Consider the following 19,815-nt stretch of genomic DNA (forward strand, 5'->3'; position numbering starts at 1 on the left):
CCAAGATCATAGGTATTAAAGTTTTCACTACATGACTGGTAAGGCAGCACTTTCCAATCAACCACCTTTTAACCACTTGTCTCTATTACACATTCAGTGAGGTCTATTATTTGTGAGGTTTAAGGGTGTTTATGAAATTGTCCTTTATAAACTGATAAGGACTTGTGGGTAGGCATTCAGTGCACATGAATGCTAATGAGGGCCAGAATCTATCAGTCAGTGATAGTTTGCCCAGGAAAGGCAGTCATCCACTGGGATCCCACAGCCTCCACTTTTAAATCATAGAAAACAAAATATTGACTGTAGCCCATTTTCTGGACAATCAAAGTTGACTGTTTTCAGTGGGAAGCAGTCATTTCATATGCTGAAGTTCTGTGTATAGGTTGTCTTCAGGAGCCCATACCTTCCACACATTAAAAAAAAAAAAAAAAACAAAAAAAAACTTGTTCCCTGCATAAAAGTGAAATATTTTCCATGTCATAGCAATGTCACTCTTATCAAAAGTGAGATAAAAATCACGTTCAATTTCCAACAGGGTGCACTGTCACACCTGAGAAAATCTTTCCTCACAGAAACTGAATTATAGAGAATTGGCTTGGTTTCATGCTTGGCTAACAAAATCCATGAAATCTATAAGACAGTTGAGAAGCCTAACCAATAGTCTTGTAGAATATAACCAGCAGTCATTGAATTTAACCACTAAGCATATAATATTTCTATGGAAAAGTATGCTCAGAATTCCAATTTGGGATTCCAAAGATAATTTTCTCCTTCAAAATTGCATTGGCTCTTGATGTCTAGGAGATAAAAAGCAATATAAAGGGCCATTTGGTTCCTAGTGTTATGCATTGCTTAAATACTGGCCCTTAATTTCTGCAGTTAGCTCTCTTCACATATCACTCAGGGATCATGTGTGCTCATACTGCTCATGTATCAGTGTCTCTCAAAGTGGCCCACCTGATGCAGTATCACCTTGACAGAGCCCTACCTACTGAATTTGAATTTAATAGTGTCTGTGTGCATCCAGGATTTTAATGTTTTATCTTTTACTAAACTCTTGTGGTGATTTTTAGGAATATTGAAATTTGTGAACCACTTTCTTAGAAGCAGAAAAAAGAGTGCATGCCTTGTTGTCTGTCACCAACAGTAACTGCAAACAGCAATAATGGGTAATGATTGCCCTTATCATACTGCATTGCCATGATATGTTTACCTTTCTTCCTCACTTGCCTGTAAGCCCTTTGAAGGCAGAAATTGAGCCATATTTATCTTCATACTTTATGTGTTTAATACAATATTTGCTATGAAGAAATATTCAATAAATATCTGCTGAATAAATGAATGAAACAATGGAATTATTAAATATACCTAGAGATAAGGTAATCCTCGTGTTTACATTTAAAGCAGGAGTAGGTTTCAGATGGAAATGTTACTTTAAAGATGTCCATTGAAAATTTTTAAAAATATTTTCATATACTGCTATGTTTTTCAAGTTTTGTTTATTTGTATTCTTAATGCTGTTTATTGGTAGGTCATAGACTTTCAATTTCTTCTGTCCTACATATTAATGATTCTGTTCCAGATATTATTTAAAAAGTGAAAACTAGATTATACCTGCAGATAAGTAACAAGGTAAAAAAGATATGTTTGTATGGCCAAAATGAATGGAGAATGAAATAACCAGCATCTCGAATTTTGCAGTTCTCAGTTAGGTCTGTCCCTAAATTATGTCTGACCTTTGTTCTGGCATGTCTATTCTCTATGTTTCGTTTTAGTTTGCTTTTCTGTAACATCAAAATGACCACAGTGACTTAACTCATAGATACACACACACACACACAGAGAAATGGGTGGTCTGCAGTACCCTGAGAATTAGAATTGCAAGGTGCTAAGATGTTGTGCTACTGTATCTTTATTTTCAAAAGTCTTATTTTGTTTTAATGCTATTTTATCTCATTTAAAGAAATCTTGCCCTTTGAAGTATATGGCTTTGTCTGAGCCTCTGTAAGCATAGCTGGCCTTTCTTCTGTTTCTTCTGTTCCTCCTTCTGTTCATTTAATTAGAGAAAACACATTTGCTGCCCACAAAGGCTTCCTTCCCACCCAAATCAGTAATCACAGAGGACTGACTGGTTTGCATTTGTTGTTGTTAGGACTCTTCTTTTTTTCCACCTTCTTCTGTGTATTTTTCTAAAAAGAGATTCATTTAAAGAGTTGTTTTAACCTTTATTTCTTTCTTCAAAAACCTAAAAACAGTGTCGGGATTCATCATAAAAATAAAATGAGTGTTTGGTGGAGAAAGAACCATAATAATGTTTCTTGGGATCTTTGTCATTTTTCTGTTCTTGCAAGTTCAGTGTTTTACTTACTTATTTTTGCTACTTCCAGTGCATGTTTTGGCTTCTTTGTGTGTATGCCATCACAAGTCTTGCCAAAATATGTTGGAGAAACTGGGTGACAGCCAGTTTGCAACAATAGAATTCCCCTGTTTTGACTTACAAATGGTCTTCCAACATCAACATAAACAGTGTGCCCTCCCCACATGAAAGAGATTGGATTAAATAACACACATAGGAAATGTATACCTTCTCAAGTATTTATTTTTGTAGGTATCTCACCAAAAGAATTTTTGAATTTGCTTTGATTCTGATAAGATCATGAGCAATTAATTTATACTGTGAAAATATTGTTTAAAACTTCTGAATTTCCAAATAGTTCATTTTGCTCTATCCACATGATCCCCTTCTTTTCTTCTCTCTTCTAACATGTCAACTGTAAGACATAATTTCTTGTTCCATAATTCCTCAAATGATCACTGTGAAAATCCTGTCAAGTCTCTTCGTACCACAAGTGAATATTTATAGATGATTTATAAACTGTTGAAAACTAGAATTTATAATGAAGAACCTGGCAGGGCCTGAGATGTTTCTGCATTGGGAGGTGTTAATAGAACAGAAGAGCAGACATTACTAGAGAGAGCTTCAGCTTTCCAAAGCACACCCACAAAAAGGAAGATAATATACAGCCTGCTCGGAATGGACTGAAATCATTGAAATAATTATGGACTTCTCAAGAACTATAGTGTGCTTGTCTGTAAAGCCCTTACACATAAATGGATTTGAAAAAGCATTATAACAGCTTCCCTTTCAAGAGGATGACTTCTGCTTAAAGTCTCCAGGGTCTGGAGGTTTTATTGTGTTGTATGGATAGACACAGAGTGGTTTCTTTCAGACTCATACAACTAAGAGTTTCAGAATCTCTCAGGAACATGATGTTGTGAATGTCTAGGTTTTATGTCATTGAATAGGAAAAAATATAGGAATCTCAAATTTGAATTCTCTCTTATACTTTAAGGACAAGAAAAATACAAAAATATTAAATTCATAGATAATTGCAAGACTTTCTGATGGCCAACAGTTTTAAGCTTCAAACAAATTGATTCAGTAGAAACCCAAAAAGACTGATTTGGGTTTCTCTTCCTATTACCTTCCTTCTGCCCACTCTGGATTACAGCTGATTGTAGGGGTTCAGTCACGATGGTGGGAAAAATTGTAAAATAAGCCTTATTGGAAGGCCAGAAGGTTTTTGCAAAAGCCTCAGAATAGAGTTATGGCTGAAGGCAGCCTAATCCTCTTTGAGCTATAGCAAGGGTAATTAACAGGAATGTAGAAGAGTCTATCTAAATAGCTTGTTTACTCATGTGGTCCTAAGACTAACCTTTAACCATCTGTGGGTGTGTGATTGCTCTCTACTTGGGGGGTCAGCAGTGGTAATTACCTTCTAGTGATGTTTACTTGAGACTTTTATCATTTAATGTGTGCTGAATAAATGCTGGGAAGGCCAGTGAGTCAGGGTCGTAGTTGCAACTTTTTACAGCACTCTCCTGGGAGTCTGTAAGCGGCCGGCCCCAACTCTCAGCTGGACTGACAAGCATAATATCTATGTCAGAGTACATTATTCATCCGTCATTGGGTCAGGGTCTGCGGGAAGGACCCCCACAGCTGATAATAGCAAAGCATTGCCCCAAAGTCAGGCAGTAGTAGTAAAAAGGAGTAGGAACAGGGCCAAATAATTCACAAGTAGAAATTGCAAATCTGTGTGTAATTTTAAATTGCAAAAAAATGGTCAATATTTTTCTAATCCAAAGAGAAAATCCTCATGTCTTTTTTTCATAAATGGCTATTATTAAAAAGCTGTGGAAAAGATAAGTGTAAGATGAAGCCTCAAGAATACATATGACTGGATTTATGGGCCCACTGTCCAGCAATACTTATCAAGTGCCTACTATGTGCTAGCCACTCTTATCAAGACTGTGAGAGTTTTACTTGTATTTCTTATATCCTCATAAAACCCCTAAGTTGTGACTATTATTAACACTATTTCATAGCTAAGAAAATGGAGGCATAAGTAGACCATGATCATGCAACTAACTAGAAAAAAAAACTTTGACTTGAACCCGGGCAGTCTGGTGGGAAAGACCACCCACTTAACCACTTGCAATGCTGCTCATATGCTCCTGACCTATCTAAAACACATGTATGTGAATTGTCAGACCTTTAGTCTCTCAAAACCTCCCATATCATTCATTAATCTATATTTAATTATTGGCATTTTTTGAGTATCTATAGAGTATACTTTGTGTACTAGAAGAACTTGATTACTAATTGGGAGAGAAGAAATGAATGTGTGAGGCAGATTTAGATTTAATGATGTGATTATAAAGCAACCTGATATGGTTTGACTCTATGTCCCCATCCAAATCTCATCTCGAATTGTAATTCCCACACACTGAGGGAAGGATCTGGTAGGAGGTGACTGGATCATGGTGGCAGTTTTCCCCATGCTGTTCTTGCAATAGTGAGTGAGTTCTCATGAGATCTGATGGTTTAAAAGTGTGTGGCAGTTCCCCCTTCACTCTCTCTCTCCTGCCACCATGTAAGACGTGCTTTGCTTTCCCTTCACCTTCTGCCATGATTGTAAGTTTCCGGAGGCTTCCCAAGCCATGCAAAACTGTGAGTCAATTAAATCTCATTGCTTTATAAATTACCAATTCTCAGGTAGTATTTTTATAGCAGTGTGAAAATCGACTAATATACAATCTGTGAACAAATAGATGATTATATGGATCAATCCATATACATAAATACTTATAAGAAAGAATCTCGGTGGAGAAGAGAGAAATTATTGGGGAAAGTTTAATCATTTCAGACTTGATTTAATAAGAACAATATGAAGTATGGTAAGGTGAATAATGAGCCCCCAAAAGATATTCAGCTTCTAATCCCAGGAGCTCTGAATATGTTACCTTACATGCCAAAAGGGACTCTGCAGATATTATCAAAGTTAAGGAATTTGAAATGGGGAGATTATCCTGGAGTTTCATGCTGGGCCCAAACTAATTATATGAGGCTTTAAAAGCAGAACACTTTACCTAGGTGTCAGAGAAAGATTTGTGATGACTGAAGAAGGGTCAGAGAAAAACTCAATGTTGCTGACTTCGAAGATGGAAGAAATGGCTGTGAGCTAAGGAATGCTAGCAGCCTCTAGAATGTGGAAAAGGCAAGAAACCCAATTCCTCCCTAAGTCTCCAGAAAGAAACACCATCCTTGCATTGTTTATAGCCCAGATTGACTTGTGTCAGACTTTTGACCTTCAGAACTGTAAGAAAATAAATGTGTATTGTTTAAGCTTCTAATTTGCAGTAATTTGTTACCACAGCAATAGAACATTAATACAACTGGTATACATTTGTTTGACAGGTCATAGAACTCTCACAGTCACTAACTCATTTGGTCCCAAAGCAATCTTAAGGGTTAGGCTGGGCAAAAGAAGACACAGAAGCTCAGGGAGGTTGAGTGGCTTATCTCAGGTTTCACAGCCAGTGGATGCCAGGCCAGCCTCAAAATTTAGAACTGACTCTGCACCCTGTTTTCAAGTATTCATGAATAGTAACACTCAAATGGTAGAGTGGTCTGACAGGTCAGAAAATCCCTTTACTGATCCTTATATTACTTAACTGATGCTTAATGAAGGTGATCCAGTGGTACACCACAGAGGTTGTGGAAAAAATAATTTAAGATAGTTTACAGGCCCTCAGTCCTTCTTGACTATACAGCTATAAATGAGAAATATTCATCCTCATGGTGCCAGCATAGAGCATCTGCATCTGCTTAAAGAGCCCTGACTTTTATAAACTATAAAATCATTTATACTGTAAAATCAAAAATTATTTTCTTCAAGATTCATCCTGTCAAAATGTACTGTGGTTATGATTCTATAATAAGCCTGTTTGATAAAATATCTCTGTGATTTGAGTATGCTTAATAATTAGGGTAACTTGTTTAATAATTGATCCTCACATTGTGAACCTTCTAGTAAATCCATCATACATTTAGAAATCCAGGCATTAATGCAAAAAGAGGGAATGCCTGTTCAATTTAATCTACATTACAGAGACCACAGTGCCCTTGTTACACAGCTACCAAGCCAGGAATTTCAATAATTTATTATCTGTAATATACAAATAATCAGATGGAAGTTGAAGACTTGAATGTTGAAAATTATTATTTGCCTGAAGAAATGGGAGCTTGGAAGAAAGGATGACTCATATGTTCAATAAACGTTTGCAATTATCAAGACATCTAATAAAAATGGATAAGAATGGAAAGTTAATATGAACTAAATTTCATTGAATCAGAATGTATCCTTTACAAAAATAAGCTTTAATGAAATCACATTAATTAATATATTCAGTGCTAACTAGATAAATTTACATGCTGTGTTTGTTTTAGATGTGATTACTTGAGTACTGCTAGGCTGTAACTAGCACAACAGTATAATTGCCATAAATGTTCCCATACTATGCATCTAATAGGTTTTAACTATTTTATTTATTTTATTTTTGCATCTGGCCACAGGGAATAAATAGTCCTCTTCTCTAATGTCATTAATAAGTAATGACTTTTACATTTACCAGCCATTTTCATTTTCTCTTCCTTTTCTGTAATTGAATCCACAAAACATCTAAAGTCTCTAAAATTTATCTAAAGGAGAAATTGAATAAGATATCTTCTTAAAATGTCTAAAATGTTGAGGTTTTAATAGGTACAAGTCATTCTGGTAGTTTTGGCATAATACTAGAAACTGATGGTGGGAGGATAGAATAAATTCATGCTTTTTAAGTGCTTATGACCTTGTTGGGGATGCAGAACATAAACGTATGAAAAAATAAATAGTATTTTCTCAGAAAATCTCATGGTATTATCAATAGCTTTGTGTCATAGAGTGTAACTACTATGTGGATGCCACTTCTTGCTCGACCTGCTCTTCCTCCCATATTTGGAATTCTCTTACATTCCTTTTAGTACCTGATTTGTAGAATTTTTTTTTAACTCTCAGAAATAAGTCTATTGGTGTACTATATCTGGTCAAGGTTTCCTTCGAGGGAGTCCTCGGGTATGAAGGATACCAAAAAATCATGTGAGGAGAGAAGATCTTGGACAAAGAAGATCCTGAGAAAGGAAGCCAGATACATACACTCAGTGCAGCGGAAGGAGACCACAGCCACACAAAAGACCATTGTCTAGGCCACATGTATATCCTCCCCCATCTTCCATGATTAAAGAGGCAGGATGGATTTTCCAATTTCGTTAAATCTGAGGTTGGTAAAACATAGCAGATCTATTTCCAGGTTATTCCCAGAGAACTGACAGCTTAACAAGGTGTGGTAAAAGATAAAAGGAGATGGACAATGAGCTACTAGAGGCTGTCAAGCAGATATCCTATGATTAGAACTCTGATTTAAGAAGACTGTAGGGTCCATCCATTGAGGCAAACTGGGACGAATTGCTAAACTAGCCATAAGCATACATAAGCATTATCTTATGTCCTCTGTGTAAAGGATGTTGCTTAAATAACAGCAAAAGGTTTTTGAAAATGGACTATGTTATAGTTATAGTAAATTATATTCCAAACATAATTGTTATTTTTGCCTTTCCAAACCTAGAGTAGCTCAGCTGGTGGGTTATACAGCTATACATAGCTATACTTAGATTGTTTATTAATTATTTATAATTCTATTGCTTATGTGTTGATTTACTTTACAATAGTTTTATATAAACAGGTGTGTGTGTATGTGTGTGAGTGTGTAAATGAACTCTAACCACTTTAGGTGTGGTTATTAGCATTTGAAGTCCATTTAACCAGGAATCAACATTTTCAAAATGGTTACTTAACATGTGACATATATTTATTGAAATATATCCCACAGTGTTTGTTAATCATAATTGGTAAAATGACAATTTTCAAGATAGATGCATGGTTAAAATACATTATAGAAGCCTCACCACCTTGAATAAGTGAAATACAAAAGTTCAACAAGCCCAGCAGTTTAATGTCATTGGTGGAATAACCAAAGTCTACAGTCTCATTGGTCCTGTTTCCCTACTTCCTGGAGAAATCAGATGAAGGATTCTACTCTAAGCCTGACTTGATACGCTGTCAGAACATCAGTGCATTCACTTCAGTAAGCCTCTCATACAAGGTGGTAAAATCAATGTATCTAGGCAGAAATTGGATTTCCTCCAAGCTGTGTAACTGTTGCATAACCACTTAGGAGCCATTTTGGTAACAAATGATCATAAGTTTGATGGAACTTGGTCTGAAATTTGGTTTTATTGTAAGATAGCATCTATTAGTAAGTTTGTGAGACAAGGGATATATATAAAATTGCCACTTAACTATTTACAGAGTCTACTAACATTTACTAAAAGAATCTAACATTTGCTGAGTAACCTAATTGGTTTGAATCGTTTTGTAATCTATCTAAATATATCTAAGCAAATCCAAGTCCAAATAGAATTAATCTTCATATCCATATATCTAGATACATATCCATATTTATATTCACACTCATGTCCCTATCTATTTTTGTTTAAGAAGCAGCATTCAGAGAGACAGTAAGGGAGAGATGAGGCAGTGACCTGCTGGAAACCCAAGTGAAAGATTGATTTAAGGAGGAAAAGGGCTAAGTTAGAACTATACTTTCCAGAATCCCATTTCCTGTATGGCCAGTTTTGTCCTAAAAAGAAATATGGCAGGGTTTGGAAGGCAGCCCTATGCAGGCAGCCATTGCTCTGTTAAGGTCCTAGTGGGTAAATGTGCTGAGAAAGCATACAGAAGTCCCAGCAAGGTCCAGCTGTCTTTGCCCTCCTTGCTCTGCAACCACCTCTTCTTTCCGACTGCCAGCTTTGTAGTGACCATACCACTAATCTCATATCCACTGCCAGGCACAGCGACAACAGCCTTTCATTGACTTATTGACCAGCTCTCCCTTTCTCAACTCTTAATCCAGCAGCCAGATGGTTATCCATCCTTCAGATTCTCAAATGATGCTGTCTTTTGTTCTTTCCCTGGTTTATAGGACCTGAGGTATCAAATAAGGAATAAAAGATGGTCTTGTGGAGAAAGCTCTGGATGAGGAGTTAAAACTTGAGCATCACAAACTCTTCATCAGTGTGTTTATATATAAACTGCCAATTTTATAAATTGTTCCAAATTTTATAGGCATAGGAAGAGACTTCTACAATATAGTGTGTGGGGAAAATACATATTTTAAGATGCTCATGTAAAAGATAATACCTCAATGCAAGAAATTCTTACTAACATGACTGCTCATATTTTGTCCAGTTTGTGAATTTCTACCTAGTAAGCATACATTTAGATTTGTGTACCTATAGACCAATATGTTGATTTTTGCCCCATAAACAAAATAACTTCAGAAAAAGAAAAGCCTGAAATATTAAGGGTTTAGATTTTCAGTTTTTAGCTCATTTCATGATAATGGAGCTTCATAATGATGTTGTAAGGAATTCTATGTATGTCCTTTACTAACTTAAAATGTGATCATTCTCTATTTCACTTAAAGCTTAGGAATATGATACTTGATGTTGTGGAGAATACCAATCAGCATAATATATAGTCTCTTCCACTCAAAAACTGAAATAAGGCTTGGCAAGGAAGACACATATACATTTACAGTTGAAATACAAAAACTGGCAAGACATGAATAAATGTTTTAGATATTGAAGTGTTAGTGTAAGTATACATACATAGGTCAGAGACTGGATCATTAATGGCTGATATAATACACGGATGCTTCTAGACTTGGTAATATGTAGCTAAGCACAAAAAAAAGAAGGGAGGAAATAACAGGTTGGGTGAACAGCATGGGCAAATGCAAAGTTAAATTTAATAAATACTGAATACCAACTCAGCCAAGGCATTCACAGAAAGCAATATCACAGATAAAAGCATTCATCTTGGGTGTAGAAGAAGAAATTATCAAGCATTTCATAAACTGTCTGAAGGGCATTTTAAACATATGATTCTGTCCATGCTCACAAAAAAACAAGTCCTGGTTTTTGTGAAGGAGTTTATAAAATATTTCATCCTCAACTAAGTTGTTTTTCCTTCCTGTTCAGTTGGTGGTAGATATCCAAGCATGATAAACCTCTTCACAAGTGGTATGTTGTTTCAACTGGCTTCCAAATGTTTGGGTGTTAAAATGGTTCAGTTATTCTCTTCTGGAAGGCAGTTGTCAAGGCTGATTACAAAATATTCTTTAAAATACGACTAGCAGCACATTGAAAGAGGCCGTTTCAGTGAACGAAATTCATGGCTGCCTCGTACGTTTGGCATCTTCCTCCCAACGGAACAGGAAGTAGGGAACATATTTGTTTAGTCAGGAAGCTTTCACCCATTGTTTGTGCTGGCTACGCGGGAGGGTGAGTGGGTATTTATATTCCTGTTCTGATTGCAGGGCACTTTTGATTCCTCATTAATGGTGTTTGGAGAGTTGTGAAAAGAAATATAACAGCACACAATTATTTTCATAGACTTCCTTTAAAGTACTATAATTCCTACAAATATTGCCCGAGTCTCCTACTGAGACAATCAGAACCTAATTTCAGATAGAATAGAGTACAAATAAAATAAGATGAAAGGCTTAAGCCAGCTAATATTTCTATCAAATGATAGGATTTTAAAATACATGTCTATTAGAACTATAACTTTCAAGTGATAATTTCCATCTAGTTGTGAATTAAGGAATGTATGGAAAGAAGTATTTTTTATGTCATGCTTTCTTTTTGTTAGTTTCTGGTCTATGTGTGTATAGAGATCCTTTTTGCTACCTCATTTTTGTTCATACTTGGAATATACACAAAAATGATGTAAACTCTCCAGTTTTCTTCCTGTGTGCAAGGGCTTCTAGGAGACCTTATCTTTCTTCTATAACTTCTTCACTCCTTCATTCATCTGCAGAGCCATGAATGCTTAAAACAAATCTGGTAGGACTAAGATATCAAATGCTGCCTTGCAGTGGAAATTTTCAATATTAATTAAATAGATAATTATGTTAAAACTATGTGCATGTGGTTCGTGTTTTTTATAATTTTTTGAAAGTTCTTTCTGATTAGAAGAACTATGTATATTTTTGCACACAATAGTCATCTGATGTGCACAAATTTACTTTGAGCTCTCTAACAATGAGGCTTGTTTATTTGCATTTTTGGTTCAAGATTCAAAAACTCTCTTACCCAGAGATGCCAAGAGGTAAGTGAATGCATGAGGAAGGCCATGGGGAAAACTAAGAGGCGTTACAGCAAAGATGGTAAACTGAAGAGCATAGCTATTCCCAAACTGATTGTCTCCTATAAAAATGGGAGCTACTACTGCCAAATACTCAATTTTGTGAGAAGCTAAAATGCTGAAATTTGATACAGAATTTCCCAATGAAAGAAACTCTTGTATGCTACAAAGCAAGGCTATGAGGGGATCTAGGCTTCAGGATCAACATTGATATCCCTTGTAAACTTTTATATCTTATAAATGTGACAAATGTTTGGCCTCTTGAACAGTGAAAACCAATGAGCTATATCCAAGATCCATTTTGACAAGGACTATTTCATTTAACACTAAAAATGTTAGTTATAGATTATTTATATAATTTTATATCATTTATTAGTACATAAAAATTTTATATAATTATCTCAAATTATCTATCCACCCGCCCACCCATTCATTCATCCACCTATCCACCCATTTATCCATCCATCCATCCGTCCATCCATCCGTCCATCTGTCTGTCCATCTGTCCATCTGTCCGTCCACCCAGCCCCCCCACCCATCCATCCATCCATCAATACACATATGTCTCTGAGGTATGTGGCATGGTTATTAAAGAATCTGAGCTTGAGTGTCAGACTGCTGATGTCCAAACCTTGACTCATAGCTATTAATGAAGCATCCTTGGGCATTTACTTAACCTTTCACTGCCTCAGTTTCCTCATCTGTAAAATGTGGCTAATGGCAGTTGGCATGGCATAGAACTGTTCTGAATACTGAGATTAATTTTGTCCTGCATCTCCAGTAATGTTCTTAACTTTCTGGGCATTTTCATGCCTGCTGCGAGGGAACAAAAAAGTGATCTCATTGATTCCTTTCCATTCACCAATGTGAGATACTCAAATAAAAGCAGAAATGAGAACAAGAGCCCTCTGGACATGTACTGTAGTGTAAAGATTTCTTTACAGGATTTGGGGAATACAATTTTGTCACAAAACTGTTAGTCATTATAGTTTCTGTGACCCCAGTGCTAGGCTGCTTTAAAAATAAGTCATAAACCTATATACTTTTTCAAATCGTCTCCTATGACCAATTACATAGGCATGTCTTTAAATAAAGCTGTTCTCTCTGTCTCGTATCCATTTCACAAGATGAATTCTTCATGTTACAAGAAGATTTAGAGTACGGTTTCTTTAAATAGCAAGACTTCAATGCAGTCAAAGTATGAATCAATTTATAAAAAATTGATTTATATACAACTTTACAGGAACAAATCTATTGCATAAAAGCTGTTACAGGACTCAATCCAGCAAGCTTTAACAAATGTGGAATGAATTGCTTGTCTAAAAGCAAAATAACTATTCATAACTCCCTGCCCCCACCTCAGTTCTTTCAATACCCACAGCTTTGTTTAGTTTTTTTAGCTGGTGTCCAAACTGAGTAAACCTTGCAAGAAAATTTCATAATAATGAATATACACCCCAGATGCTGAATTAAACATTTTTGAAGAGAGGTTGTTGTTCTACATATTGGCTGTCTGTAAAAAATTAATTGATGATTTTCCAAAGCAAAAAGCAAAAATAAAATTCCAAATTAGGGTAATTGCTTTACTCTATGTGAGCTGCATAGCTCTTTTTTGTTGCTGTTTTTGCTAGTTATTTGTTGGTCCTAAAGGAAAACAAAACTCAAGCCTAGAAGCATTCATCAGTGGGAAATTCTGACTGACCTTCCTGGCAGGCTGTCAAAGTGCCATTTAGCACACTAGCTATAAACGTGCAAATAATAACCCTTGTTGCCAGGTAAATACAAAAATCAAAACCAAAAAAATCACTGAGCTCCCCTCCCTGAGGTGGACCCTTATTTCCATCTGCCTGGTCATGCAAGTCCCATTGTGCCATTAACTACCCCCTTGGGCTTCTGGTCCAGTGTAAAAGTGTTTGGCTTACTTGCATTGACATGTAATTAATGCATGTAACTGGATGATTAATGGTACCTTGCCTGTTCTCTTAGAGTTTAGCTGAGGACTCCAGAGTTGACGATAATAGGTGTTAAATGCCAATAAATTCCAAAGAGAGACGTTAGATCCATCAGTGTCTAGCCTTAGTGAGACATGAACTGCTTCTGTGGTGCTTTCTTCATCCTATGTAAGAAATGGAAGTTTAAAAAATAATTGATAAGATAAATGAAAGAGAATTGGAGCTACCTTGAAATTCATGGGAGAACTAGCACTGTGTCCACTGGAATATGTCCCAGAAATTGTGGTGTTTGACTTTCCCTGGAAAGACCTGAAGATAAAGGGCTGGGTGGGGACAATATGAGGGAGAGTGAGCAGCAAGACCACAGGAAAGACTCTGCACATGCAAGGTGGGGGAGGGTACAGATGGGCTTTGCTTCCCAGGGACCAGAATGTACAAGTAGCTGGGCGGGAGAACACTGTAGGGGAGGACTGCCTGTCAGAGAAAAGTAGATTGTGCCTTGGGAGCAATTGCTGAGACCTTGCCAAAAAGACAGAGGGAGAGGCAATTGCTTGGAGCGGGAAACATGGCCAACTCCAGGGTTTCCACGCAGTCCCAGAACTCACAGAAAAGCCCCATCTACTACCCAGACAGATTCTCCACGCAGCAACACTGAGTAATTCCCCAAATAGTTTTTTCCTTTCTGTGAAAGCATTTCTGTTCCTCGAATACCCTTTTCCTGCCTTGTCTGATCTGCCTGGAAGCCCTTTACCTTCAGGCCTTTCCAGAGAGAGTCAAACACCACAGTTTCCGGGACACATCGTTGCGTATTCCAGTGGACACAGCGCTAGTTCTCCCAAGAATTTCAAGGTAGTACCAATTCTCTTCCAGACAAAGACGCCAGAGAACAACAGTCCCAACCAAGTGAGATCTTTCATCTCAGTCCCCTCCTTTATTCTGGACCAGCCAGAGGCAGTGGAGTCAGTGGGCAGGAGGTGGGAAGGGGCGGAAAGCAGTACGTTACCTCCCCTACCACTACTGCAGGGAGAAAATCTTGACACTGCAAGGGAGTTGGAGTGCTTATATACATCTGACTTGTTATGTTAACACCTGGAAAGGAGATTGCTGTATTGCTTAAAATTGGGATCTGTCAGAGATATTATTAGAGGCAGGGAGGAGAGATTAGAAGGGAGATTAGCTAGAGTGGGTTTGAAGGACTTTCAGGAGAAGAAAAATAAAGATTTTTCTGATCGGCATAGCTGCGTTCGCCCATTCAATAAACATTATTTATACAATGAAATGAACTAAAAATAGCCCTTATTAATTAGGAAATGGCAAGGCAGCAGGATTCGTACAGTTCTCTGAAATAAAATGCCAGGAGTATAATGATAAATAGAAATGCTGAATATCTTTTTAAATATTTCATTGTAAAAGAAGTCTGCCAAAGTTCAGGATAATGGGCTCATTATTGCTACTAAAGATGTCATCCAAGCCTCACCTGAGAATCACCTAGACTTCTCTTCCTCATTTTCCACTTAATCAGTCACTAAATTATGTCTCATGAAAGTAGCTGTCAAATCAGTTTCCTCTTTTCCAATTTATTCCTACAGCCCTAGTTCAAGTACTCACCGTCTGTCACGTGGGCTATTGCAATAGCTTCTTCTGTAGTCTCCCTGCCTCTGATCATATCCCCTTCTGTCCATCCTTCATATTATAGCCAGAATAATCTAAAATGCAAATTATACCACTCCCTTTCCTGGAATACACCAGTAGCTTCCCATTGATGACAGCACAGCTTCTCAAGCTTTGATCTGGCCCCTGCCCACCTCCCTACTTAATTTTCTACCATTCTTCTCCACCCAGCAACACTGATTAATTTCCCAGAGTTTTTTCCTTCCTGTGAAAGTGTTTCTGTTCCTGGAATACCTTTTTCCTGCCTTGTCTGATTTGCCAACACCTTTGGTTCCCTTTTGCTATGCCCATCAAAGGATCCTCTAAGGCTCTATTAAACACACAGGCTCACAAGGCTAGACTAGGCCACAGTTGGCATCAACTTATCAGAAGGTGCCACATAGGAAGCACAGCTTGCCAGCAGGGTATAACCAAGTGAAATCTCAGGGAAAAAGCCCATACGACTATCATGTCCCCAGGGACAGCTCAAGGGCAAGGAGATGAAATCCACATCTGGGCAGTTCAGTTTCTGCCCTGGCATAGAAGAAGATACCTGCCTCACAGGGCCAATAGATCTTGTAAAAAGTCCATAGTCACTGCTTCCACAGGTCACTATACTCAGAGAAGCTTGAAGCTATGGCTCCCCATCTGATATTTGTAGTTCACTTATTGTTCTCCCATTCTAAATGCAACTTACCAATCAGGGGTCATTCTACCACCGGTAAGGTAGCCTGGCAATATGGTTAATACATACCATCTTATCTGGCTTCCAGGCAGCATTGTTAGCCAGTGACCATAGGTTGGATTCTCATTTGTGCGGCAAGAAAAGAGTTTATTAATCCTTCCATCTGTTCCTTTCTCCTCTATGGGACTTCCTTATCACTACACCTTCACCTTCAGTTATTTATTCTGTTTTCTTTACAGCCTGTGGATCTTGCACATACTTATATCATTGGCTTCATCCTTGCAAATGGCAATTGTTTGCTATATTAAAGTACTTTCCAGGACTAGTGTAACGGTGTGGCTTTTTGCAGGATGGGGTGGGAAGATCATAAATAGATGCTCCCCAACTCTGAGGATTTTTGACCATATTTGGTTGTAACAAAATAACAAGAGTAGATAAAGTCCCCAGACATATTTTGTGGACTTTGTCTTTTCTCATCCACTGGATGTAGACTAACCTATTAGATTTGGTAATACAGGTATTTTTTTAAAAAAAAATTAGATCTTTCAGAGACTACTAGATAAAATGAAAACATGAGCTAAGTTAAATTAATGCTTTAATAACACTTTTAATTGAGAAAATGTGACTTTTAAAAATCAGTCCAGCTCATGAATTAAAGATCCTCATTAAACTATAGACCATGGAGGACTTGTAACAGCTCTACATCCAAGTTCAAGTGATGTCCTCCATCTAGAGCAAATGATGACCTCTGGATTTAATGCATACGTTATTAGCAGTTTGATCCCTTAGATTCAGTCCATGAATTTTAATCCTCTTTACAAGATGTTCAAAATGATTGGAAAAGTGGAGCTGAAGGTAAACAGGAGCAGCTGTTCACCAGAAAACCTCTCTACCTGACCCCTGCTGGGTTAACACAATGGATTCTGAGAGAACATCGTGACTCATTCCCCTCCTGGTATTTATCACAGACTCATACATTTTGCTCTTTCTTATATACTGCTTTAATCCTGTCCTGATCATGGAACATCATTATCCCCACTTGGAAACTGACTCAGAGGTCAGTGCGATGCAGCGTGGCCGTCCTATTCAGCCTTGTTTGCTTCCTCCCACTCCCTATAACTCTGGGGAAGGTTGAATGTCCTGGGAATTTGACAGAAGTGTGAGGCCTGGGCTCTAGTGATATCAGAGTTTCATATTAAAAAGAAAGGAACTGGAATATAACCTCATTGTTGGAGCGAGGAGAGATAAAGAGGAGATAAAAGATACACAAAAGAAAAGGAAGTGGCAGGTGCTGGCAGAAGGCTGAAATGGTGAGTTTCCACTGCAGAGAGAGTGTGAGGAAATATACAAATTGCTAATAGGAAACGGGATTCTCTCACCACTCCATAACACACTGGGCTGAAATGCTCAAGTGGGAAGAATGACAGCCAAGGCCAACCTGAGCTCCAGTCCTGCCCTGCTGTGCCTAGATTTCACTCATTTCCAGCCCTGGGTGCTCTTGTCTCACATATGTGAAAGTGGAGAAAACACAGGAACACTTTGTTTTCTCTGAACTGTCTGGGGAAGAAAATGCTGTACAGTAAATCAGAGAACCAAACCCTGTGTAAACTGTGAAGAAGGCTGTACTAAATCTAGAAATGGAAGGTACCCGAGGTGCTGCACTGAAACCACTGTTTCCTTACGGATTTTGACTCTTAAGTGCTTATTGTATATGAGTGAAAGTCCAAGCAAAAATACTTATTCTACTCTGAGTATGCTGTGGGCAGCAATAATTGATGTATGACAAGAACATGTCATGGTAATGTAAACCCAAGTTTGCTTAATGGTAGCATGTCTTCAGAGATGAAGCCATTGAGGTTGTCTAGCCAGATACCTGGAAGAGTCTCCTTGCTTATAATTATGAGGAGGTATGGAGTTAGGAATTTGTGTATTTGAATATTCTGCTTCAAGTTTTTTATTTAGTTGTTTCCCTACACTGGCTCAAGTGGCAGCAACATAATAGATGATGCTGAGTAAAACTCCTGGGCATATTTCTTTCTAGAAAAGACTTAAAATTGAAAGGAATAAGTGCATTTATTCACTTGCACATTAGTTCAGTGGATTCTCTCTGGGGTCCCATGGCAAGACCTGCTTTAAGTTGCAACCATCTTACAACATGGTACCTTTGCTCCATATTAATGACAACTAACACTTATTGAGTGTTAATCCTTACACATATAGTTTCCCATTTTTTAAATGACCAAACCCCATGATACAGGTACTTTAATTTCATGAGTTATTTTCATAAATCATTTCATAATTTCATAAAATCATTTCATACTTTCATAATTTATGAAATTTCAAAAAAATTTCATAAAATCATTTCATAAATTACTTTCATTTCATAAATGAGAAAACTGAAGGAAGAGGTTCTGTAATTAGTCCAAGGTCATATACCTGGTAAGTAATAGAGATGGATATTGAAATTCAGTAGTCTGGCTCCAGAGCCTATGTGGTTTAACCACTACCCAAACTGTATCAGGAGCCTGAAAAAAAATAGGATTTGCACATGTCTTGGAGTGGAGAATGAAGGACAATAAGGTACAGTCAAGCATGCGGTGACCTTGCCTCTTCTGATGAGTGTCAGCTGTGCTTTTCCTACTGCCCTTCCTGATTAGCCTTCATTTGGGCACCATTCGCCTTCTCTTCTCTGTCCTCATGTTGCCCACTGCCTTTGTCTCATTCTAGATAGCAATACCCACAGCTGTCTTTTCTTCTCACTCTATTTCCTCCTCCTGGTTGGTATCAATTCCAGGATTAGTAATCAAAAACTAATATATTTCCAAATACATATCTCTACCTTAACTACCAAACCCATTTCTAGCTGACTTTTGTCTATCAGCACCTGACTGTTCCACAGGCTCCTGAAACTCAACATGTCTAAAAATGGCTCTACATTTTTGAGTTACATGTTGCTATGGTATAAATGTTTATATCTCCCTAAAATTCATTTGTTGAAATCTTTACCTCTCAGGTAGTGGTATTAGGAGGTGGGGACTCATGGGGTTGAAGCCCTCATAAATGGGATTGGTACTCTTATAAAAGAGGTCCAAGAGAGGCTCCTTGCCCCTATGCCATGTGAGATTAGAATGAGAAGACCACTGTCTATGAGGGAACAGGGCTTCATCAGACACCAGCTTTACCAGCACCTTGATCTTAGACTCCCCAGACTCTGGAACTGTAAGAAATGCATTTCTGTTGTTATGTCTATGGTATTTTGTTATAGCAGCTTAAATGGACCAAGACACACCTGTAGGCTTTAAATGTTTATATTTGAAAATAAACGAGAGGAAAATAAATAAATAAATAAATAAATAAATAAATAAATAAATAAAAGACTCCACAGCCTAGTGGATAGGCTCTGTTCCCGGACTTGCTTCTCTTCCTGTATTCTGAGTCTTAGTTAATGACATCATTTCTGACTTGTAATTCACAATCAGCAATTGCTACTTTGCACTCACCCAAACCCTGCCCACTTGAGATTAGGGATCATTTTTCTAATCCAGCTGTTTCTTCTACCTCTGCAGCCTTTACTTTATCTTAGGTGTGTGTCACCTGCCTTGTTTGCCTGCCCTGCCATTAGTTTTTCTCTCTTCTGTTTATTTCTTCCTCTTTATTTACAAGATTATAATTCTCCAAACTTTGACCATCTTAATGCGGTATCTAGAAATATAGATCAGCTTTCTATCATTCATAATATAAAATCCAAACTCAAGATGGCTGGCAAGCTCTTTCAAACAGAGCTCTTGTCTATCCATACCAATATAATATTTTAAAAAATAATAGTAAAATGGTTGTGGCCAACTTGCTTTACCTGCCTTCCATTTCTCACACTGAAGCA

General features: G+C 37.5%; 2 long non-coding RNA genes across 2 annotated transcripts in view; one reads left to right on the forward strand and one right to left on the reverse strand.

The window, feature by feature from the left end:
• Positions 1-19,815, forward strand: part of LINC00534 (long intergenic non-protein coding RNA 534) — a 166,472-nt gene that overhangs the window by 86,086 nt on the left and 60,571 nt on the right. The window lies entirely within an intron of this gene.
• Positions 1-19,815, reverse strand: part of LOC124901975 (uncharacterized) — a 267,232-nt gene that overhangs the window by 12,465 nt on the left and 234,952 nt on the right. The window contains exon 7 of the long non-coding RNA XR_007061002.1: positions 13,618-13,764. This is a non-coding gene — a long non-coding RNA (uncharacterized LOC124901975). The remainder of the gene's footprint in view (positions 1-13,617; positions 13,765-19,815) is intronic.

The sequence above is a fragment of the Homo sapiens genome, chromosome 8 (genome assembly GCF_000001405.40).
Source record: "Homo sapiens chromosome 8, GRCh38.p14 Primary Assembly".
NCBI classification, from domain to species: Eukaryota; Metazoa; Chordata; class Mammalia; order Primates; family Hominidae; genus Homo; species Homo sapiens.